Raw genomic sequence first — 26,260 nt, forward strand, 5'->3', positions numbered from 1 at the left:
ACTTGCACGGCAAAGGCCCAGAAGAAGGAAAGGGAAGGTAAGTTCAAGGAACAGTGAGTGAATCCCTATAGCTGGAGCACAGCCAGATCATGCAGGGTGTTGCAGGCCACCCCCAGAAGCTCTGACCCAAGTTTTTGTTTTAGAAAGACAGCTGGGATGGCCACATAGAGTGGAAAGGCCTGGAGAAGGGAGGCCAAAAGTTTCAAGATTATTACACCTCTCCTGGTGAGAAGCCACGAAGGCAGTAGCACCAGCAGCAGCAGTAGTGATGACAAAGAAGCGTAAACATCCAGCTGTAAGGCTACATAGTTACTGGTAGCAAAAACCTCTTGTGGGCTCCCTTTGCTGTACATCTTGAGGCCTCAGAGGCTCTTATAAAGTGCCAGCTGGGTGCTAGGGTTCTTTAGATCCCACTGTTTAGCATAGAACCAGGGCTTGGAACTGAGTCAGTGTTCAACAAATGTTTGCTGAATGAAAGTGTGAAAGAGTTAGTAATTTTATTCAAGGCCTCCCAGTTAAAATTTTTGACCTACAGTTAGGGATTATTTTTCCCAAATTATTGAAGGTATTCGGGAACAACCAATGTATCTGTATCCTAAAAAGTTAAGAACTTTCTGTCATTCAGCAAAGTGTGAATTCAGGCCCAAGTTTTCTGAAGAGACTGCCAAACTGTTGTGACTTAACCCTTTATTCACTCTCAGCGAGCTTTTAAAAATAGAGGCTATTTCAAAAGGGCAATCCTGGCCTAGCCAGCATGGTGGCCCACACCTGTAGTCTCAGCACTTTGGGAGGCCAAGGCAGGAGGATCGCTTGAGCCCAGGAGTTCAAGACCAACCTGGGCAACATGGCAAAACCTCATCTCTAAGAAAAAATGCAAAAATTGGACAGGCATGGTAGTGCGTGCCTGTAGTCCTAGCTACTCAGGAGGCTGAGGTGGGAGGATTGCTTGAGCTGGAGAGATGGAGGCTGCAGTGAGCCGAGATTGTGTTGACTGCACTCCAGCCTGGGTGACAAAGTGAGACCTTGTCTCAAAAAAAAGCGGAGTGGGAGTGAAAATCCTGTGCTTTTTGAAAGCTTTACCTCCCTCATGTAACACAAAGCCCATAACAGGGAGTCATTTTTGTACCTTTGAGTGATTATTGTTGTCTGAGGCTGTAGTAGTTTCCCATGTGTGATCTTCATCTGTTTTCTCACCAAATAGCGTCCTACTCCACTCCTTAGATTCATGTCACAATTACGAATCTTTACATGGGATGCCAGCAAATCTCTTTGCCCTGATTCTTGCAGCTTTTCACATTGTCTAACATAGGCATCACACGTGAAGTTCCCTTTGAAAACAGCTAAAAATGCCGGTAAAAGATGTAGCATTAATGGTCTAAATGTATCTGCCCTGATTAAATATTAATTGTGGTCTTCAGAAAATAATCAGGCCATATCTGAAATTCCTCAATTTATCATTTTATACTAAAAAACATGATTTGAAAAAATAACTCCTAAGTTATACTAAAGTGAGTTAAATGTCACATAAACTCTTTATATTGTTTCTTTATTAATCAGATTGCTAAGGCGTCAGATTTTTAATCAGGCATTGGAATCTCGTGTATAGAATTTATTTTCCTAATTATAAACGAATAGTCTCCACTGTGCATGTAGCTCTTTACACAGCATTAGTACAAAATTGATTATAGCTTGGCCTCACCTCATAAAGTAGATATGCTTTGGAACAGCATCAAATAGGTATTTATGTTTTAAATCACATGGTCCTTCTGACTTTCATTCTAATTTTGGACGATTACCACTTTTACTTTCCTTCCTCCTTCCCTGAAATTGACTGCAAACAGCATGAAAATGTCTTTAGACTTAGCAAAAGGGGAAAAAAAGTTAATTTCAGTCTCCTCCTAGGTGCCAAGTACTGTGCTATTTGTTTATGTATGTCGTGTCATATAAGCCTGACCACAGATCACAACCCATTTTACCGGTAAGAAAACTGAGTACCAAAACCTAAAAGGTGTTATGAATTTCCTAACTTTTCATGTATGCGTATTCAGTGCTTAGAGCAAACAAATCTTATTGAAATATGCAGTACAGATTATTTTCCATGTTGTTTGAACTATGTTTTTGGCCTTGGTTAGCAGGAGCCTCCCCAGTGTGCTGAGCGATTTCCACAGCTTCAGAACCAAGTTCATTGCAGTTCACAGCTTGTACCGTATTTCATCGATCCTAAGACACAAATTTTTTTTCTGATTATAGCAACTTGAATGAATTTCATAATTATAGCAGCCATAGTTTAGTGAGTGGCATTTTTAAAAGGGTTCGTAATGGCATATAAAATAGGAATGTCACTTCAGTCTATAGCATCTTAGGTTTGATGCAATGCTGTATCAGTCTTTCCAATATCTAACGAATAGAAGCAAAGCTAGGCTTAAGATTCAGATGCAGAAATACGATTATGGAACCCTCTCATTCCCTATCATCTGATGTGGATTATTCCCGCCTTTATTTACTGATCTCCCCAATCTGAGGGCCTGGAGAGAGTCTGTATGTTTGTCTTACCTTAGATCTGTTCTGTCACCTATCAAGATCAAAACCCTCTGCCCAGGACCTCCTTTATTCTTAATCTAGGGGCGCCTGTTTCCTTATCTGGAAGCAAGTGTACCATAATTCAGTAGCTTCCCACGTTTGGTCAGTAGCCAAATCAGCCAGACACTTGTTAAAATTATGAAGGCTCCGGCCCCTCCTACTTCAATGAGTATAGACCTCTGTGTATTTTATTAGCTTTCTTGGTAATTCTGATACACACCAACATTTGATAACCACAGAAATAGTGGTTAAGAGATAGACTGCCTGGATTTCAACCCTGGTTCCACCAGTGTAACCTTTCTGTCATTTTCTGTGCCCCAGTTTCCTTGCCTGTAAAACAGGGGTCAACAATGGCATGTACCTCAAAGGATCATTGTGAAGTTTAATAAAACAAGTCATGCAACCTACTCAGCACAGTACCCCACACAGGTAGCAGGTGCCCAATAAACATCAGCAATTATTACTCTCTCCCTGCAAGGCTGAAATTTCCCTACCTCATTCCAGAAACCAACCTCTTGTCTTTCCCTGGATTCACAGCAGCTGACAGTTTTGCCTCGTAACTACAGTCTTCCATGCAATCTCAAAGAAAGGGACTGAGAGGAAAAACTAAGATTGCTTTTGAATTTGTGGGGTCTGGAGCACATTGAAGCCAGTAAGTCTAAGACAGAATAAAGATAAAAGTTGGTTCAAGAAAGTCATCCAGTGAATTCACTCATAAATGCTTGTCTAATTTAGGGTTCTCAACCCTCTTCTGCATAAAAATCACCTCAGGAATTCCAAACAAAGTATCTGGGTGGCTGGCAGCCTCCATCCCCGCAAGAGATTCTGATACGGTTGGTCTGGGGAGAGACCCAGACATTGGCAATTTTCCCAGGTAATTTGAATGTATAGACAGAGTTGACAATCACTGATCTAATTGAATATTTAAAGGGTTCCAAAAACCTCTTAACTGTTAGTGGATATATCTCTTATATTTGAAGATGCTTTATAAACTCCCTTCCTCCCTGTGAAAATCAAAAACTTAGGAGCCCCTTGTCCCTAAAACAGGGATAATATACTGATTCCAGGAACTCCTGTAGTCAATGTGAATGCACTTTGTAAATTGTTAAGTCTATATGTGAGAGGAAGCATTCTGGTGCCTAATGTGAAGATGATCATCCGATCCTGTTACATAGCATGCACAAAGAGATTCAGAAATCCTCCAGTTACCAGGATGTCGCGTAATCTGAAGTATAATGCACCAGCCACTTCAATGTATACACTTTTCATTCAAAAAATAGGAACCATGAACATGTTAAATCATTTCGTAAAAGATAGAAGAAATTAAAACCTTCCTGAGCCCAATTTGAAGGGACAAAATAAAACATACGCTGAGAACATTCAGTCTTCCACACAGACTAGTCATCTCATCTTTTATTTTCTTTATTTTTCTTTTTCTAGATGGCCATTGTGTGAGATTAAGTATTTGGTCATATTTCCCACTGCTCTTCTCAGATAGCTAAATTTAATTCTTATCCAAATGACCGACTTACCCAACTGTATACCACTTATTTAATTAGACATAAAGAGATACTAAATTCCTCTCATCTGTTGAGGAAATGATGGTAACCTGGCTTTGTCTCCTACCCTTTAACAGAAACCTCATTTCCCCTTTTTTCCTAAAATGCCCATAAACCTTCAGTGCCTCATAGTAGTATTATGAGGATCAAATAAGTACGTGTAAGTACTTTGAAAACTGTAAAACCTTAGTCATCTCGTGCTCAAAAGCCTTCACTGTCTCCAGCTGTCTGGAGTCTACTCAAGGACCAATTCCTCAGCTGGGATCCAAGGCCCTGTCCCAAACCATCATTCCTATCTTATGTTCAGCTGTTTTACTGCATGTGTCCTGGCACACTGAGACCCATGCCACAGAGGAACTGGCCTGGCCAGAGCTGGAAGCAGGCTGGGGTCCCAGTTGTGTATCACATAGAAGACCACTGCAAGAAGAGTCTGAATGGGGGCTCTAGCAGACAGGGGGAACAGAAGGAAGCTACACAGCAGAAGCAGAATAGGTGGCAGAGGCAATTGATTGGAGGGAGGGAGAGGGGGTAGGTGAAGGGGATGAGGAGGAAGACAGAGGAGGCTGGAGAAAGGGGAATTGTTGTATAGCAATGTCTGTATGTTCATCACTATGCTAGGGGGAAAGACTGCTAAAATATTGGGGCCCCAAATAGCGAGCTTGGTTTTGGATGTGCTGAGTTTAAAGTATCAACAAAGCATTCAGGTAAGTGAAACTAGAATCCTGGAGATTGGAAGAGACGTAGATTTGTAAATCACATGCAAGGAGAAGACAACTCAAGTGAGGAAAGTGGATAAGATCAATCGGAGCACAGAGAGAACAGGGGCCTGAGGAAAGAGTCTTGGGGATGACAGCATTTGCTAGTCCAGATGAGTAAGAAAAGGCAGGGGACAAAACAGGGGAGAACTCGCTGCCAAAGAAGCCAGGGGAGCATATTCCGCAGCAAGATGTGAGGGAAAGTCATAGGATGTGGTGAATTACAGGATGCTGATGAATTTCAGAGGAGCCACGTCAGCCAAGCGGTGGGCAGAAGCCAGATTACAAAGCACTAGAGAATTCGGGAGTATTGGGGAAGTGGGTGCAGTGAACATGGGTTAGCCTTTCAAGAAGTTTAGAACTGAAAGGAAGGGAGGCAGGAGACAGGTTAGCCCTCACCACTGACAGAGTGGAGTGTAAAGGCAGGAAAGCACAAAGCAGGAGCTATGTGATAAAAGGGAGCTTGGTTTTAATAAAAAGAAGAGAAAGTGCTTTCGTCTTAATAGCTCAAAGAATGCTGATAGCAGCCGTGTGTGAAATTGATTTCTGAGGCCCAGCACCAGAGACAGAGAGGCTGTGAGGCAAATGGGGTAGTAAACCATGATTTAGCACCTTCACTTTCTCTGCTTATTACAAAACAGGCTTTAAAAAAGATGCCTGTGGTGTGCCTCAGCATTCTTGATATTTTCTGTGGCCAAGATCCATTTTAATATATTCCTGAGGCATTTTGGTAATTCTAACACTGCCTGAGACATTAATCTATTAACTTTTCACATTGCTAAGCATGTTAATGCAATTTAAATATTATTTCTCTTAAACAACATCGATGTGGAAGGAAAAAGAACTCTTCTTGCTGGAAACAAAAAGGTAACAGGCTGAAAATGCTTACACGTTGAAAGCACAATTAAGCTTTATAAACTCTCAAAGTATTTGCTTCTACTCTGCAAGCATTGAGAGCCAGAGATGGCTCACAAAAATCACAAAAAATCATGTCATGTTTCATGTACTGTTAATAATAAACATTTAATAAGTGGTTTTGCAGATGGCTCCTTAACATGATCATTTAATTTATAAATTAGAAGATGGTAGTCCTTCCCATATATACAATATCTGGATTATATTTTTCAGTTTAAAAATGCCAAAAGTATGCAGAATTTAGCCAGCCCCAAAACGTAAATATTTCTGTTGACTGGAAGATAGGAAGAGATGACTGCTATATTTGTCTCTAATCACCATTATTATTTCCCATTTTAATACAAGTAGAGCTGTACTATTTACAGATAATGATGACAAATTATAGTGGCCCGATAAGGACAGGTTCTTTTAGACAGTTATTTTAAATGAGGCACTTATACTACAATCTACTCTGGACAAGATTTTAAAGAAAAAATTGTAGGCTATCATGTTTTTGAAGTAAATACCTATTTAACTAGAGAATGCATGGCTTGATTGATGTAGTTACAACAAAAGCTATACTAAGACAATAGTAACTGACTCTCATTTATTATTGATAAAGGACTTAATATGTAGGAAAGCATTTTAAAAAACTAAGTTACACAGTAGGGAAGCACAATAACAGAGTTTCTGTTTTGATACAAAACAAAGTATGTCATGAAGATTATTGATATAGCACATTATAATACAAACATCACAGGAAGAAAAAAACATCATTCCTTAACACTTGGCTAGGAATTAAGTCAATATAGAAACTGAAAAACATCAAATAAAGCTGACTTTTATCTCAGCATTTGGGAGACTTTTGCTTACAAGTATTTATTGTTTTTCAAAGTATTAAAGAGTAAACTCTTATTAATAAAAAGTACAGAGTATAATTTAGCATTTCTTTTATTATTCAGAAGTCACTTTAGGATCTGCCATAGGTTCTGGATGCAGAAAATTGTATTAGCAAAGAAAGAAAGTCCCAGCAGAGATTCTCTGTTTCAAGAGTTGCTTTGTAACAAAACAATTCTTAGGACTGAAGCTGTAGGACTGCCTCTACTTGGATTTCATTTATTAATTGCACTGCACAACGTTTTTTCATGTATTAGCACTTATATTTAAAAAAATAACTCTATGAGTTACACAGAGCAAATGCTTATGTTCCATTTTACAAATTAGAAAATTGATTTGTAAATGTGCTTAAATGAAATAGACTAATTTAGAATCATAGACATTTTTGTAGCTAGAGGTGTCTCAGAAATTAGCCAAAATTCCTTTTTGTGGAAGTGACTAATCTGAGGCAGAGAGAACTAAGTTGCCTAAAATACCACAGCAGCAAAGTCAGGATATAACAAAAACACCACAGTGGCCAAATCCTGTTGCCTAGACTGTGTCCCTGTTTAGAAGTTTTTGCTATCAATATTATGTATGTACACTCTGAAACATTTTAAAATTAAAAGTGCTCACCAAAAACTCAGCAGAACAGTAAACATCCATTGAACATTAAACTCTGTATCAAGCCCTGTGTTAGATATTAGGGGTTAAGCTGAATATCACCTAGTCCCTAGCTTCAAGGACATTGTATTGATATTTTGCCTCTATTAATTTATTTTAACATGAGAGCTCTATTACTTGAATTGCAATATTTAGTTTTATGGAAAATCTAATGGAAATATGTTCTCCCGAGTCCAAAACTCTGACTTTAAAATGTGTGTTCAGATTTGCTTCTATCAGGTTATTTTTCCTGATTAATTCTGCTCAACTTTACATCTCTCTGTGATCTATGGTTATCTATGTATTGTACTAATTTTTACACTCATTAAAAATGATTTAATAAGTATTCTTTACTTCTTTTTAATTGGTAGAGGCCTATGCTTTTAATTAAGCCAGGACTTCCTCACCCACCTCTCTTCATTCTCATTCCCAGTTCTCTTTCTAATCCCAGCACACTCATCTTCAAAAGCACAGCTTCCCAAGTGCTGCAGAGGGATGAAAATTGTTTACTCAGTGACAGGCTCCCTTTGGCAAACAAGGATCTAGGACTTGGATAAAGCTAGATTAAGCCAAGATGTGACAGGTTAATCATCTTTCAGCTTTACACATTTTGGGTAAATTTAGAGTTGGCATAAAAAGACATGTGAATAAGCAGAAATGTGATCCTTTTTTTGCCCCCATGATTCAGATTCATTTTTGTCCTCTTCTGTTCCCTTGCTTATCTGCAGCTTCTGCATACATTTTTTCCCTCTGTCTTTAGATAATCTGAATGTATATGGACAAGAGTGAAAGCTGACAGCTGTTATGAATTAGACATTCAACTGCAGTTTGTCCTAACCTGCCTTGTGTTAATCATTCATTTAATGAATATTCACTGAGACCGATTACGTATCTGGTGTTCTACAAGGCACTGCGCATATTCAGAGGCATATTCATCTTTGTCACAGCTCTTAAGAAGCACACAGTCCACTTCTGGGGATAGATGTGTAAACAAGTAACTATACTGGGTGGCTGACAAATGCTAAAATAGCCATTTGTATCAAGTCCTAGCAATATGCTCAAAACACACAGGATGGCTGGGTGGTGGCTCACGCCTGTAATCCCAGCACTTTGGGAGGCAGAAACGGGTGGATCACCTGAGGTCAGGAATCAAGACCAGCCTGGGGAACATGGTGAAACCCTGTCTCTATTAAAAATACAAAAATTACCCGGGCATGGTGGCGGGTGCCTGTAATCCCAACTACTCAGGAGGCTGAGACAGGCGAATCGCTTGAACCCAGAAGGTGGAGATTGCAGTGAGCTGAGATCACACGACTGCACTCCAGTCTGGGTGACAGACTGTCTCAAAAAAAAAAAAAAAACCAGGCCAAGCAGTGATTGATTCTACCTAGAGATAAGAGAAAATTTTACTAGAAGATGGCAGTGGCATTGCATCTTAGAGCAGGAGCAGGAGTACACAAGTCAAATGAAATAAAAAGATGTGAGCAAGATGGTGAGGAGGGGAATCTAGGCACTATCAAGATCATGACCCGATTACTAGATGTCCTCACAGCACCTGTGTTACTGAGAATCATGACCAATTACTGAAGTGTAGAGGCCATGTATGATTACAAAAAGCAGGAATGAATCTAGAATGTTGATTTAGGGCCAGTTTATGAAGCGTCTTGTATGCTATGCTAATAACTTAGACTTTACCCTATATCCAATGGCTCTTCACCTTTTTTGAAGAATTTGATAAAAGCTATAAATCCTCGCTCCAGAAGTGTGATATAACACACATATGCTCAAAATGTGGCATAGAGTTTCTGAGAGTTCATAGCCCACCTGGCATTTATTAACACTACTAGGTCCCATCAGCTTTAGGCAGTGGAGCCATAGAAAATCTCCTAGCAAGGAGTGAACAGTTGAGCTTTGTATTCTAGCAAGATAACTGGGAATGATGAAGAGGACAGACTGGTGGGAAGAGAGGCTGGAGGTCAAAAACACCAGATGGGAAGTCAATTGCAAAGTGCCAGGCATGAATGGTAGTACCAGAATTAAGTCAGTGAAAGTAAGATTGGACGGGGTGAGAATGGAAGAGAGAGGGATTTCAGAAATGGAATTGATAAGACTTGATGTCTGATTAATTATAAATGATGTTGAGCAGTTAAATATTTTGTTGTTATCTCAATCTTCCCCACTAAACTGTAAATCCTCTAAAGGTGTTGCTGACTCACGCAGGACTCAGGGAATGAGCAGAAATGAAAACATAAGCATGCAGGATTAGAAACTTCACATTCATGTGAAAGCAACGCGTCCCTCAAAAGCCAAGAGGCAGAGGGCTATGAGGTAGGGTAGTGACCTCTGAGACTAATCACTGCTTATGGACATAAAATCAAATAAGGAACTGTTGAAAATAGTAAACCTGAGTAAGCAGTGATTAACTTGTTGGTTGCCATCTCTACCTTACATGGTTTCCTAGCCCCAGAGCACCTCCTAGATAGCTAAGAGACTAGGTTGGTTTGCTTTACATTCATAATGGGAAAGTATGACCAGAACCTCAAAATCAACCTACTCCCAAAACTGCAAAATTTGCCAGAGTGTTCCAAATATCCAGGCTACTGCCTGTAGTTACAGCTACAGGTTAAGCTAGAGGAAAATGTTATCTATTGAAGGTACAAAGATATGGTAATTGAGAGAGCTACTGCTTCTTAGAACAAAGTCATCTAGGTTGCAGGTACAGAGTTTTTGATGGACTTCATCTCCTAGTGTGTGTGTGTGAAGGTGGGGGAGTGATACCTATTTGAGCTGGAGAACAGAAGAAAGTCCCTGAAATTGAAATTACTTGGCAATTTTAAGTGACTGGATATTTCTCATGGTCTTGCTTTCTCCCCCACTTTATGCTTACTCTATGCCCTATGTACCTTTTTGAGAGACAAATGACAAATATGTAAACATTTAAAATAAAACGTATTTCCAGGCATTTCATCATTGATTAAATATTTGTTGAAATCTTACATTTTCTTCAAAATGACATTCTTAATAATTATTTCAATAACTGTAGATAACTCAAAAATAGAAAGCATCACCCCTGCCTTCAAAGAGCTTCCAGTCTAATTGGAAAGATAATTGTTATATAGAATGATAATCCCAAAGAGCTACAAAGTCTTGTTTTAATTTATTCTATACTGACTCTTTGTAAACTAGTACTACATAATGGGACATCAAGTAACTTCAGGTTAAGGAGAATACTGCAATACTAAGAGCTTATCATTCCACTTTTTCTGAGTAAGGAGAGCTGAACTTAAGCAAAAGTAGAAACAAGAATGTAAAAAAGAAGAAAGCATAATATTAAGCCAGGGAGAATGTTTTAAATTTCAATCCCACACATCCTACAATATCTGGATGGTATTTAAGAGAGAACGCATCCAATCATGAGTATAGGAATAGAACCTAAACCACATCCCGCATCCCATGGAACTTAATTCAGAACTATTACACCACATTTTTTTCTTGGCTCACATGGCACAATAGTCAACCAAAGAAAAGAGAAAGTTCTACCAAAACCAAAAGCTGACTTGTTTGAGAGTGACATGAAGTTAGCTAGTCATTTCATGCAGCTTCCCTATTATCAGTTATAATTTGGGTTTTTTTGCCCATCAAACCCTAAGCCATATTAATCTATTAACGTTCCAGTTTCCTCAGCAAATCATGAAATGAGATTTTTCTCCAACAGGAATTCTTCCTCTATGATTCCAAACCCCAACATGTGCTTTCCAGAGCCTCAGATGTTTCCTTAGTTCTACAGATGGTTTGTAAATTCATTTCAGCTCAATTTGCCAGTGCTGCAGAAAGTATCTATGGCTGATTGGAGTCACAGTTTGGACGGACCTCTGGTTAGATTAGATGGAAGTGGAAACTAAAACTTCTAACTGGCTCACCAGGAAGTTGGGAATTCACAAAAAGAGCAGAGAGAGAATTTCGTTTGAGGGGGTGTTTCAAACATGCCTGTTTTGGGGAGTGGAGGGTGTGGAAGCCCTAGGGGGTGATTCTTCACTGTTTTCCTTGGTGTTGGGCCTACATATTATTTTCCACTGGAGATTGGTTTTCTAAGTATAGGAAAAAGAAGAAAACAAAAAACAGCAACAGCAACCAGGAACAATTGTTTCATTTTTAGAACTCCAGGTAAAATGGCTAACGTTTCACACCTGAGGTGAAATAGTATCAGGGTTTAAAATATCCCTATAGTCCAGGGGCCAGGAAGGTGATGACTTCCTTCAAAAACATGAAATAAATGAATTTTTTTAAATGACTGTAGTTTCTACAGGATACAGTTCTCCTGTTTTCCACTTTTCCTTTGTAAAATACATGAATTACCAGCTTCAGGCTTCTACTCCTAATTGAGCACTCTCTAGGTCTAGAAGCTCAGCTATTATAGTTATTTTAAAGAAGATTATTATCACAGAAAAAGAGAAACAGACTGACAGGCTATTTCTAGTAGAAAATCTCCTTTAGTCTTCCAAATTAAAGGAGTTTGAAATCTCTATCAAAAAAATGCATTATAATATTTATATTAATATTCTCTCAGTCTTATGACAAAGCAGTTATAGTGTTTCCATTTGCTAAGTTTGTGCTTTTAAAGTAATAGAAACTGAGAATGATCAAATATTTTATCTATGCCTTCCCTTGAGATAAGCTGATTCAAAATATTCAATGGTCTGTCGAAAATTTCCTGAATACTAACCTTTGTTCATATCAGCAATTATTGATTTTAATTCAACTGGCTGTGAAATTGTGTTCTGTTGAAGCTTTCCAAAATGCCCAGAGGTTTCTCAGCAGTTTTCTAGAAGAGCTATAATCCAGGCTTGACCTTGGATAGAATACAAAATAAAATCAAGTTACCATAGTTCTGAAATGAAAACCTTACTGAAGTATTTGACATTGAACAGAGTCGGATTTTTGTTTCCTAAAAAGTGATGAAGCTGTTTTAATTTCATCTCCAAATTGTTGTCCCAGGACGAGAAGGAATTCTGAGGACAAAATAATTTTTTAGAAGAAAAGCAACACCATTCATTGTCATTTTATACAAAATTCACATACTGATAAATACTGTTTGAAAAGGAAAGAAAGGTCAAAATATGAAGCTAGGCAGAAAAAAAAAGATACAGACATAAAACTTGGCTTTACTAGATATTAACTATGTGACATGAGCGTGTGTGCATTTGTAGCATGGGGGTGGGGGCAGGGAGTGATAAAATAATTGGCACTAATATGCCAGAAACTATGCTAGGTACTTCACATGTGTTCTCTCTGTTAATCACCATATTATGAGAAGTATCAATGTTCCCCCCACCCCCTTTTTTTTTTTTTTTGAGATGGGATTTTACTCTTGTTGCCCAGGCTGGAGTGCATTGGCCCGATCTCAGCTCACTGCAACCTTCACCTCCTGGGTTCAAGCGATTCTTGTGTCCCAGCCTCCCAAGTAGCTAGGATTACAGGCAAGCGTCACCATGCCTGGCTAATTTTTTGTGTTTGTAGTAACGATGGGGTTTAACCATGTTGGTCAGGCTGGTCTCAAAGTCTTGCCCTCAGCTGATCCGCCCGCCTCGGCCTCCCAAAGTGCTGGCATGAGCCACCGCGCCCGGCCAATGTTCCCATTTTACACATGAAGAAACTCTGGCTTAACGAGATCTGACAACATGTCTAAGTTCAAGTTTACCAGTATATGACTAGGAAAGTCCGTCTCACTCTAAAGTCTGTGCTCTTTCTCCTGCAGCATGATACAGGTTGTTCAACCTCACAGCCTCAATTTTCTTATTTGTAAAATAAGGAAAAAAAATTCTCACCTGACCTGGGTCATTGTGAGGATTAAATACGATCATTTGTCTAAATCCTGGCATGCTTCCTGGCATGCAGGTACTTAAGAAACCCCAGTTTTCCCTCACCATCAACTCTCCAGGCTTAGTGCAGTTAGTCGCCTTAACAGGAATGCGCAAAAGCGCACTGGAATGTGTGCATAGATGCTGAGAAAGCAAAAGGGAGACAGGTACCCAAAAGTCCTCCTTGGCCTGTATAGCTTTTACACCCTGTTACAGAATTGACTTTTCTCTTCAGTAGCAAGGGACAGGCTTCATGCAGTGGCCTCTGAAAGACCATGCACTGTGTCACTGGCAGTTCATCATATCTCCCAACAGTGCAGCTGTGATAAGAACCAGATGATCCAAATTTCCTAAGCAAAGCCAGCAGCAAATATCATCTGGGAAGGCGCATGCCTCAGTATCCACACACTACGCTCTTTAAGAAAGTACATCAAAAAGCTAATGGACTTTTACAAGAGCCCAGTTACTGCTTAATGTCTGTGAGCTCTCAGGAGCAGGGAATCACAACCCCTACCACATACAGTTGGCGGCAGAACCAGTATTCCAAGTTGTTAAAGAAGCCAAGGATTAGATAAGATTTATAGAGACCTGATGTGGGTAGGGCAGCTAAAAATGGAATCTGCAGATTTGTTTCCAAAGCTTCAGACATGGCCAGGATGTTTCTGTGTATAGATTGCTCCACTTCGCATGGGCAGACCACAGGAAAAATGGTTCTCTCATCACTGGGGGAGTTGCCCCTCTTTTTAATATAGAAGTGTGTGACATCCATTTGATACAGCCACATACACAGCTCCAGATAACTTAAGCTAAATGCTGTCTGTCTGGAAGTGGAAAACCAGAGGTTCAGGTACCTTCTTGATGATCTTAAAATTGTGAGTGCCATTCTTTGCCTTCTCTCATAGCCCATTTTGTTACTTCTGACGATCTGTTGACATCTGAAAAACACTTCTCTTATACTATAACTTCAGCTGTTATATGACTTCAATTTTACAAAAAACTATCAAGCATTTCCTCAGCACCTACTTTTTTTTCATTTAATTTCATATAGCTTGACCTCTTGTTTTAACATTTGGAAAAAATATTTTCCAAGTACCCTGTATATGCGTGTCTCTGAGCAAATATAACTCTAGTCTTTTATTGCTAATTTCTGCTTCATCTTACATCTTTCATGTATTTGATAACCTGTCCAGGTTCCAATGAAAGAGGCTATGGATAAGTGGTACATAGGAGGTCATTCTAAGGTGAAGTGTCTATTGGGCAGTGAGCTGCAGGGAAAATATTGCTTCATGTGATTACTCAAATTGTTTAACTACTTGTAGCTGTCAGGCTTGGAGCTGTTCACCTGAGACTTTGTTGCTGCAATTGGCTCTGGAATTAACCACAAAACTGTCAGATGTAAACCACGTTTAGATAAGCCAGTAATGGCAAGAAAATGACACCATTCTGAGGTTGATGGATGTAGGAGAGCTCTTCTAGTATTTGTAGGAGGCATATAATGATCTGTGACCACAATCTGTATTCCATAAAATTGGCATTTACTGAGGCTAAGAACGTCTTGACTGGCCAGGAACGATGGATCAATGGAGTTGGGGGGTTGATTGCTGAGTTTCTGAGAAGACAGCAGTTGATTCAGGAGTCTTATCCAACACTACATTTAAAGGTCAATATGTGGCACCAAAGATCTAAAAATGGCTGAACTGTTTCTAAATTTAATAACTCAAGGGGCCTAGTCAACTTTCATAAAATTATAGAGCCAAAACTCAGGCGCTTCTTCTCTCAGTGGATTTCTCAAATGCTAGATCAAAACAGCTGCCAATTGTCCATTCTCACTCATCCAATGCCTGTAAAGTAAAATAGTTGCTGTAATAAGAAAGGGTTTTATAATGGCCTTTTCCCTCAAGTTCAATATGAGATGCACTCTAGACTTTTTATGATACATCTACTACTAGTGAAACATTGCCTTACATAAAGAACTTAATAGTTGTTCTTTAGTTCCTTGTCATTGATATTAACAGCTAAAGACCATCATCTCACATGACATTGCTGCTGAAATTTCCAGCAGTGGGGTCAGGGATAATCTTTTGATCACTATGTTCAATAGCATCCATAACCTTCCTTTTGAGACATTGAATTAAAATATTACATTTATCTGACGAAAATCATTGAAAAACATTGGCTGGCCTGTATAGAAGAGCTTAGATTTTTGATTTCAGAAGCAATCAGCGTTACTTTTAGGCGACCCATTATCTACTCTTTATTTTTCTTCTGCCTCTATTTCCCCTGCTAGATGCAATTCAAAGTTTACACTTTAGAAAATTGCTGCTGTAAAGTTAAAAGGACTGTACATTCAAAAGTAAAAGAGAAATGGGGCCGAGCGTGATGGCTCATGCCTGTAATGCCAGCACTTTGGGAGGCCAAGGTGGGTGGATAGCTCGAGCTCAGGAGTTCAAGACCAGCTTGGGCAACATAGCGAAACCTCGTCTCTATGAAAAATACAAAAATTAGCCGGGCGTGCCGACAAGCACCTGTAGTCCCAGCTACTCAAGAGGCTGAGGCAGGAGGATCCCTTGAGCCCAGGAGGTCAAGGCTGCAATGATCGTGTCACTGCACTCCAGCCTGGGCAACAAAGTAAGACACGGTCTCAAAAAAAAAAAAAAAAAAAAAGTAAAAGAGAAGAGAAATAAGCATGTGTTCTACCAGGGCCAGACACAAAATTTGTTTATAGTGAAGAAAGTCTTAAAAACTGCAATAAACAAATACTTCTAGATTTTAAATAATCAGAAAGGCATCTCTAAAAAGTCATTGCTGGTTATAGATGTAAATGTCTGGCACAGTTAAAAAGCAGAAAAATCACTTTCTCCAACATTAAACATGGATTCCATTGAAATGAATTATGTTTATTCTACTTGTTAAAAGAAAACTTAGAGTTTGTTCGACTTTGTGAAATAGACCTATGACTTGCTTCTGGGTTTGCATGAGATCTCATTCAGAGACATCGTGGGCACTTAATATGTGTAGTTGTGCTGAAACGTGTAATATGTGATGAGATAAGATGCTTAGCAGTGAAACCTCACCATTGAAGCTTTTAGTACTTCTTCAAACAAGGCACATGAAAAATATCAAGGAACTTTAGCACAGAGTTTGAAACAATTTGTTTTTCTAGAAAAACAAAATCACAACCATACATTATTTACCAAATATCTTACCCAGAGAACAGCCAGAGGGAAACTCTCCAAGGATTTGGCATTCGAGTGTTCTTATCTCATATGAAAATGCATTCTGCATGTGAATGCTGCGTGTGGATTTTCTTTAGTTTTGTTTTGTTTTGCTTTTGCAGTTGTAGTAACGGATAGCATCAAAGTTTGTAATCACTCATTTCAATTACTGCATGAATCCTAACGTTTGTGATACTGGTTTCATCAAAGTCATATTGAATTTGAGTAAAATGAGAGAAATCGCATTGCAGAGATATATATTTGTCACTTAAATAGAAACTGCTTCAGGAAAATACTGCACCTCTCTCAGTAGTCAGCAATCCTATCTTCTATTCACATGCGGCAAACAAAGAGTTAGATGATACACAATTAACTTTTTAAAATCTGAGGGATGAATTTAAATGGGCTATGGAGAAGAAATTTGTGTATGCATACATCATTGGCAAAGAGTCTTTTCTCTCTCATTGTTTAAGTTCTGAAAACAGAGCACCTCTTATTGCAGTGATTAAGGATTGATTTTAATAATCCTAAAAACCAGGCTTTGGAGCTCAATAAATTCTTCCTTTCAAAAGTACAGATTTTGGGGTTACCAAGGTGGCTCCGTTATCCATGCTTTGCCACATTTTATAGGAACATAAAACTGCTAGCAGATTACATCACCAGGCAGATGCAATATGACAAGAGGCTGCAAGGTCGTACTGTGGGAAAGTCAGGGATTTCAGGGAGATGATACTTTACAAGCACGGTGTCTCAACTAAACTCAAAGCAAAAAGCCTGGTGCCTTATCAGTGTACCTCCTGTAAACTTTCAGAGCCCATATATGTTTATACATATTAATAATAATTAATAAATAATGTTAAATAATAATAGCAACAAATGCTTATACAATGTAGTGTTTATTATTTAGGCCCTATGTACTTTTAAAAATGTATGTTTATATTTGTTTTTGTGCCAGTGAAATGTACTAACACAAAATTTAACATTTTAACTATTTTTAAGTATATATATTTATACACTGAACTATACATTAAATACATTCACATTGTTTTGCAATCATCACTACCATCCATCTCCAGAACTTTTTCATCTTCCCTAACTGAAATTCTGCATCCATAAAACAACTCCCCATTCCCCTCTCTCCCAGTGCCCCCCATTCTAGACACAGACACAGACATTTCTGTGTCTATGAATTTGACTATTCTAGATACCTCAGTAAGTGGAATCATGCAATATTTGTTCTTTCATGTCTGACTTATTTCACTTCGTGTCATGTCTTTAAGTTTCATTCATGTTGAACCTGCATCTAAATTTTCTTCCTTTTTAAGGCTGAATAGTATTCCATTGTGTATATATATATATATATATACCACATTTTGTTTACATATTCATCCACTCATGGACATTTGGGTTATTTCCACTTTATGTGCTTTTTATGTATCAACTCTTTCACTGCTCAAAAAGATTCATTGATTCATTCATTGTTGTAGTATCTTTATTATCTCCATCTTATGATAAGAAAACTAAAGCATATGAGATTGTGTAGGTGCCCAAGTTTATAGAGCTAGGAAGCTCTAAAGCCAGTATTCCACCCCAGGCTGGGTAGATCCACAGTTCCTGCTCCTAATCACTGTGCTATCTCATCTCCCTTTCCAATGATTCAGGAAACTAAGTATAGCATGTACCAGTTGGAAAACCATTTGTATAACATCCTAAGGCCAGGTTTTAAAAGTTCAAGTACAGGTTTTAAAAGTTCAAAGGAGTAGTCAGTTTAATAACCGCACCCCATAGCAACTGATTGATAAAGGATCCCATTACTACAAAATAAAAATTAGCACTCTGCTCCGGCACTAGTTCTAGGTGGGCTAAGTTCATTTTGCTGATCTTCCTATATAATATGTGCATGCATGTGTGTGTGTGTGTGTGTGTGTGTGCAGTAGCATGGTTATAATATTACCCCAATTTGTAAAAAGGGAAATTGGGGCATAGGAAGGTGGTAAGTTACTTGTTCAAGGACTCGTAATAAAAAATAGAACTTGTACCCAAACTCAGATAATTTGTAACTCCAGAGCCTGTTCTCTTAACTATAGCACACATTTTATCTTTTTCTTGAATGTGAAGTACAGCATTGAGACCTGTACATAACCACAAGTATTCTTACAGTATATGGAAATTTTCCTAGAAAGCCTGTAAATAACCAGCAAGTCTATTTGTCAAGAGGCAATCCGTGCATTGCTAAAGTTATTTGTATAGTTATTCCAACGAGCACATCTGAAAACTAGGAATGCAGTTGCTTTATTAAAAAATTGTCGATGGTATAAAATATTGTTAGATTTTGGGAAGCAGTTTAGTGTGCACATGCCAAGCTTCTCAGGACAGAAATACCTCTGAGAGCAGCTTCTTTCCTTTCACTAAGAGATGAAGAGTACACTCATGAACCCTGAGCAAAATTGTGACTTCAATGCAATTGATTGTCTTCTAACCCAAATTCCTGTTTCTGGCTTCCTTTTCCATTTGTTCCATTTGTACAACTTCGTGCCCACTTCAGTCATTGCCCAGGGCCCTTAAATTTAAATATCCCTCCCCCTGAACATATAGGCATTATGAAATGGAAAAGAATCCGAGAATCTGATTGCGCGTTTTCATTCCTAGCAAAGCCACCATGTACACACACGTACAGGCCAGTCACATTTTAGAACACATGTTTCAGGGTTCCATGGGGGATATGATGCTGACCATTCTTTTGTTTCTCACAGAGTTCCAGGACCGCACGCTCCGAGGAGGACCGGGACGGCCTATGGGATGCCTGGGGCCCATGGAGTGAATGCTCACGCACCTGCGGGGGTGGGGCCTCCTACTCTCTGAGGCGCTGCCTGAGCAGCAAGTAAGTCCTGCACCCGTTGGGGGTCTTTGTGAGAACCAGAGGTAGCCGGTTTGAGGCATGCTTTTGTGATTGGGTTTATGGAGAACATTTTGTGGCTTACAGATCCAGATAAAAGAAAAGAATTAAAGGAACGTACAAATAATTAAATTTGTGTTCTTACGTGTTTTTATTTGTGTTCTTACGTCCATCTGCAGCTGGGTCTTTATGTACTCTTATCAGATGATAAGCAATAGAGAAACTTATCATCTTTACCAAGCAAATGTTATCTGTTTTCATGTTAGGACTGGAAGGAGTATTTATTGTTAGGAATGGTTCTGGAATTATTAGCTCTATGACATATTGTACAGTATTGGTGTTAGTAGCATATTGAGTTTATGCTGGATTTTTAGTGTTACCAAGTACTTTGCAAGTGAATAACATATTGGTTTATTTTTGTAGATGTCCTAATAGCCAGAAGTTTCTTAAAGTCATTCAGTTCAATGAATGATGAATTTCGAATATAAGGAAGTTTGGAAAAATAGAAGCTTCAGTGGGAATTGGGTCAGGAATAGTGAAAGGGATGAAGAAGGTAGACATGGGGGTGGCTAATGACATCTAAGCTAAAAGGAAAGGGCCTGAGGCCTTAGAATGGAAATTTTTACTTAGAGTAATAATTTAAAACTCCTTCTTGAGCTGTGTGGTCTATGACTAGATCTGTCTCCAAACTATAAAATATAAAGTACCATGGTAATATTTTTAATGAAAGATTTTATTTGACTATGAAAAGTGTTATGTATAGCAAGTAGGAGGTTTGCTCAAAATTACTGTATATACTATATTATAAAACGGGAAACAGAAAAAGAATTCTAGACATTTCATAAACAAATAGCAGAAAGTGGTGAGACAGAGGTTCAGAAAAATGTCAACTTACTTTAATAAGAGTGAGAATTTCTTGAAATCAGCGTCTGAGCCTTATTCCTTTCTGTCTCCCCAAGGCCTGCACAGGGTCTAACAGATATTAGAAGCCCGATAGATGGTTCTTCATTGAAACATGAAAGACCATTTTGGCTCCAGGGAGGTCTCACTGGAAATGTTATAACCTGAGATGTATCCAACAAGATACCAGATCAATTCTGATATTTGGCCACTGTGGCATTGAGGTGTGCACTAAAAATGGGTCAATGTGATTGTATTTACCAGCAGGTTTGTTTGTCTCATTTTTGAGGCCAGCTTCGAATCAACGAGAACCTTGAGCTGATAAGAAAGACTAGACTTTTGCTCCTTATGATTCACCTGCTCTCTTAATCTTGAATATACAAAACTTCCAAAATCTGCAATGTATGCTGCCACACGGTGATAATGTAACTGATAATATTCATACATCAGTAAAGCCAAAAAGTATAAATTTAGAATGTTCCTGTTATTTAGTTTTCTCAAATTAGCATCCTTGAATATTTTATAGAGGTGAGCCAAAACATGTGTCTCACAAAACTGATAAGAAACAAAGGGGAATTTTCATATTGTCTCAGTGATGTGTATGTCAGCTTGAGGTAGGATCTTTTACTGAGTGAGAGACTGAGAAGCAATTTAGGGAATACATTAAAATCACAAAATTCTGTCATTCAGCAAATAATCAAATATTGATGCCATGCGAAATTCAAAAATAAACAATTTTGCCACCTAGTAAGTTAAAGGTCTAGGTGTTAGGGCTCTATTATGATACTACAAAAGATATCAGTTGTCTTCTACTTATAAAGTATTAGAAAAGTAGAATGTAAATGCTGAAATTATAAACATATAGAAGATATGTCCCTATTTTACTTTCAAGTATTAAAAATATATATTCAGTAATCTCATACAAGGCTGACCAAGAAGCTTAAAAAATGGGGCGGAGGTTGACTACCCATTCTTTAGGAATTTGAAGAAGAAAAAAAGCCTCCAAATAGAAGGCATTTCCAAATCCAACAAGAATATAAAGAAATATTAGTTTCTTAAAAACCAGTGCTTAGTATGGACTGATACATTATCCACATGGATATGTTCTATACTTTTAAATTCTAGTCATTCTTTAGCAAATCAAAAACTTGTCATCATCATTAAACTCTGGAACAATCTGGATAGAAAATGTAATATATATTTTTAATTGTGAAAGAACTATTTATATATGCCCTATCATATATTTTGACATCATTCTTCAATAGGATTTGTATTATTAGGCTAAACTGTATTAATTCTGATCCTTGTAAGACAAACAACATAGAGGTTGATTTAGCTGTTCAATCTGAGATTCTAGTGGGATTTCTGGAGACAAGCAGCTCATGATATGACCACATTAGCATATTACCTCTGCGCCCTAATGAGTTAAATCTTACAGCTACAGATTTTAAAAGGAGCAAAACTAAGACTGAGTTAATCCCTTTGGGGGTGTATTGATTGTAGAAAATCTGCATCTCCAAGGACAATTTAAAGATCTACAGTGACTAAGTAAATACCTTTATAATAATACCAAATAAGTATGTTAACCCATTGAATGTTCCTGGATGCTATAATGCTGATTTTTAAAATATTAGTTGGTGCAAAAGTAATTGCAGTTTTTGCTATTACCTTCAATTCACCAACCCAATACTTTAGTTTTTATGGCAATTACACACTTATTTTCTAGAAAGCACAACACAACATGCTATTATTGAACAGCTTAGATAGTTCCTGCTTTGATTCAAGACTTTTGTTTATGTTGCATTTTTCAAAACAAGGCATGCGTATACACCTACAAACCCCCTACCCCACGCATGTATTTGTGTGTGTGCTGAGCTGTGACAGAAAATATATATCATTTCAAAAGGGTCTGACAGCTTCTGTTGCAGAGAACTCACCCTGGCAGGGGCCCTTTGTGGATACTAGTCAGACCCATTTACCCAGGGGAGACCTTATCCTAAGTGTCACTGGTCCTCAATCAAAATTCAGTTTGGCCAGGCACAGTGGCTCACGCCTGTAATTGCAGCACTTTGGGAGGCCGAGGCGGGTGGATCACCTGAGGTCAAGAGTTCAAGACAAGCCTGGCCAATATGGACAAACCCGATTTCTACTAAAAATGCAAAAATTAGCTGGGCGTGGTAGCGGGTGCTTATAATTGCAGCTGCTAGGGAGGCTGAGGCAGGAGAATCGCTTGAACCCCAGAGGCAGAGGTTGCAGTGAGCCAAGATCGAGTCACTGCACTCCAGCCTGGGCGACGAGCGAAACTCCGTCTCAAAAAAAAAAGAAAAAAAAAAATTCAGTTTTCTTTACCTGGGATTATTATGTTTGGAATCAGAGATTCTCAAATGTTTGTGTGTCCCTGGCTTTCTCTTCCTGCCATTCTGTATCACTTCACAAGTTTTATTAATATGATTTTAGCCCTGTATTTTCTCCTTTTTTGTGTGTAATGAAAGTGTGGAGCAAGTCCCCTTTGGTATCTAAAGGGAATCAGACATTTTGGATGATTTCATTTTAGATGATTTATAGTCTCCTCCATATATAGTTTGAATGCATCTGCTCAGGATCCTCCATGGAAGTGTAGTTGTCTTCATTATCTTTTAAGTTGTCAAGCACCTAAGAAGCTATTTGTTTTCTTGATAATTTTTATTTGCAATCTAGATCTTTCACTATTAACAGAAATTCCTGGGTTACAGCCTCATGTTTCAAAAAGCTAGCTTTCAGCTATCAAAGTTCATGGAGACACCTAGCATTCATTAAACTTTCAGTTATAGTCATGTATAAAAATTTTAATTTTCATTAAAATACATAACTCTAAGCAGTAAGAAATATTAAATAAGTACTTATAAAAGCAAAATATAATATTAATAAAATACATTCTAACATTTTTCTCATTACTACTTGACTGTAATTAGGTCATTGCTTAAATATGGCCCTAAATCAGTCCTTAGGCTGGATTTAGAATGTATTTTGACTCTTATAATTTAGAAATAGAGGCCGGGCGCGGTGGCTCACGCCTGTAATCCCAGCACTTTGGGAGGCCGAGGCGGGTGGATCATGAGGTCAGGAGATCGAGACCATCCTGGCTAACAAGGTGAAACCCCGTCTCTACTAAAAATACAAAAAATTAGCCGGGCGCGGTGGCGGGCGCCTGTAGTCCCAGCTACTCGGGAGGCTGAGGCAGGAGAATGGCGTGAACCCGGGAGGCGGAGCTTGCAGTGAGCCGAGATTGCGCCACTGCAGTCCGCAGTCCGGCCTGGGCGACAGAGCGAGACTCCGTCTCAAAAAAAAAAAAAAAAAAAAAAAAAAAAAAAAAAAAAAAAAAGAAATAGATATGTTCTGGGATATGTGCTCAGCTTTAAGACTTCGAATCAGTTTGATTTTTAAAGTTTTCAAGTTTTTTCCCTCAACAACTGGTTCTATCTATTCTAGTACCAGCAAGAATTTATTAGTTTACTCCCCTTACTTCCTTACGCTAATGGTAACTCTAATTGGTGTAGCAATTATTCATTGCCACAGTAATGCTGCATAAAAACCACTAATCCTCAGTGGAATATCAGATAAGGAATTATTGCTTGGCTAGGCAGCTCTGATGGACTTTGATGGTCTTGATCACATATCTAGGGTTGGCTGGATGTTGGCTGATCTAGACTGGCTTCATCTGGTTCAACTTGGGAAACCCAATTCTGCTCCACAAGTTCCTTATCCTCCAGCAGGCTAGCCTAGGCAAGTTCTCATAGTGATAGCAGAGGTGTAAGAGAGAGCAATTCCCAGTGCAAAGCCTGTTTCCAGCTTCTGTACCATATTTGCTAGTATCTCATTGGCCAAACTAAGCCATCCACCAAGTCCAGAGTCAGAATGGGAGAGCCAAATTGTTACATGTGAAAGCATGAGCTAGAGAGAGGGTGAAAAATTGGGACTATTCTTCAATCTAGCATGAATAGTCTTCTATGGCTTTCTTACTCATTTGTAATGGGATAATGAACTTCATGGGTTCTGTCTCATTTCTCCACTCCAGATCTAGGCATCTAAATTCAGTTCAGTCACCTTATATACCTTCCCAATAGGGAAAGATCAGAGTTTATGAATGTATATATGCTTAGAGGCCTAGCAGGTAACTGGAATGTATGTAGTAGCATTCATATTGAGTCCAAATAAATCCCATCTACCAGGTAAATTAACCTGCCAGGCCAATTTTCTAGCTCTAGTAATATGACCTCTTAGAGCACTCTCAGGTCTGATTATTTTTTCAAGTCTATCAGCTAATGATTATTCTATTCCCAATATGAAAGAAATGTAAAGGGAGGTAGATTACTTAGATTTTGTGGAATAAATGACAACTACTCAACTTCTGGAGTTAATTTTGTTCCCTGATGGACCGGGAGCTTGTGAGGAGACTTGGTTTACCCTCTGAGTACAGAACATCCTCTCTGAGTGATCTTTTGAAGGTTCTAGAAAAAAATTCAATGGAGACAAAGCAGAATGAAAACACAGGTACACATTAAATATAAAAGCCTTCATTCTCAACAAGCAGTACTTGATACTGGAGAAAAAGTTCTGACCCAGGAACATACTGAGTAGAATCCTTTCCTTGGTTTCTCCCCTACCCTTTTTCTGAGGTTTGCAGAAAGTAGGCAGTGCTTGATTTTCCAGGTTTATGATATTGGAACACTGATCATTGCCTTTATCTGCAACCCTGGTTTGAACAACAAAGAAAGACACTGTATAAACATTGTCTCTCACCTTTACTAATTTTGTAAGGTTATATGAGGTTTTATTGAGTAACTCTTATAATGTAACTTTTACTAATCTAGTATCGCTAAGTAGAATATAATACCTGTTTTTATTTTTCATTAATTAGAAAAGAGACTATACCTACTGGTGCTTGATGATGGACATTTATTTTATTTCAAATGAATTAAAGTACTAGGTACCTTGAGAAGCTGCTCCTCTCTCCAGTTCTTCACCCCCCTACTAAATACTCTGAAATAATATTTATAGTGAACTATTTGTCTAGCTTTTTAAAAAATATTTAATACTAAAGATCTATCTTTCAGAGCTCTAGGTTTATCTTCAGCCAGCTAATTTAGCTTTGCTCATAAGAAGTTCCAAATGCATAAGACAGTTAATATAATGTGTAACATTATCTGTCTCCCTGTATTAAGTCAATGCCAAGACCAGGCTCAAAGGAGGAAACTACCCCTCATTTGAGATGGCAACGAGTTAGATAGCTGGCTGCTCTTAGGTGTGATGTGAACCTTTGCACTGGTGACTAAAGAAGATTTAAAGGTCTTCTGAGACCTTTTTTACTTTCTGAAATGCCAAATTCATCTGCTAATGGTATAAATTAATACTACATTAATATTGTATTAAGAGCATAAATTAATACATTAAGAATACAAATATTATGTTAAATCTTAACTGATTCAGCAATGGGCTTGGCTGTTTCATATCTATCCAAATAGCAAAAAATGATCTTCTTATGAAGGATGGCAGAATTTTTTAAAAGTTAATAAATTTTGAGTTAAATATTAAAATTGAATTAAAAAGTTTTTGAGGTAATACGATTATTAGATGAGCAAGAAATAAAAATCACACAAGAGGTGCCTAAAACAAGTAAGATTATAGTATTATTCCAAAGGCATGTGGCTGCCAGAATGGTGTCAACATAAATACAGAAAAAGTAAAATAAATAGCCCCAAGGAGTCTTAGTCCACAGGAATAGGAAAGATCATTCTAAAGGTCTCATTTCATAATAATTGTGGTAAGAGAAAGTAAGCTAACTTCTCTGATTTTTAATTGCAAACACAGATATTCTGCCATGAAAATATTGATACACTAATATAGGCTTTAGTTAGCATCTTATTTCTATACCGTATAATAATAAATACCAAAAGAAAATTTTCAATGGTAAGATTTTGCTTCTTAAACAAATGTTTGTTTTTTTCTCTAAAAGACATCTCATCTCTATCATAACATCCAATTAAGATTCACAGGACTTGTTTTAAGAGGTTTTAGAACTTTCAGC

At 38.2% G+C, this 26,260-nt stretch overlaps 1 protein-coding gene across 16 annotated transcripts in view; it reads left to right on the plus strand.

Annotated features, from left to right (window-relative positions):
- ADAMTSL1 (ADAMTS like 1) overlaps nt 1–26,260 on the plus strand; it is a 1,004,318-nt gene that overhangs the window by 579,043 nt on the left and 399,015 nt on the right. For all 16 annotated transcript variants that reach the window (XM_011518064.4, XM_017015312.3, XM_011518063.3 and 13 more), the window contains one exon: nt 19,154–19,281. In XM_011518064.4, coding sequence (XP_011516366.1) covers nt 19,154–19,281 — 128 coding nt within the window. The remainder of the gene's footprint in view (nt 1–19,153; nt 19,282–26,260) is intronic.

The sequence above is a fragment of the Homo sapiens genome, chromosome 9 (genome assembly GCF_000001405.40).
Source record: "Homo sapiens chromosome 9, GRCh38.p14 Primary Assembly".
Taxonomy (NCBI): domain Eukaryota; kingdom Metazoa; phylum Chordata; class Mammalia; order Primates; family Hominidae; genus Homo; species Homo sapiens.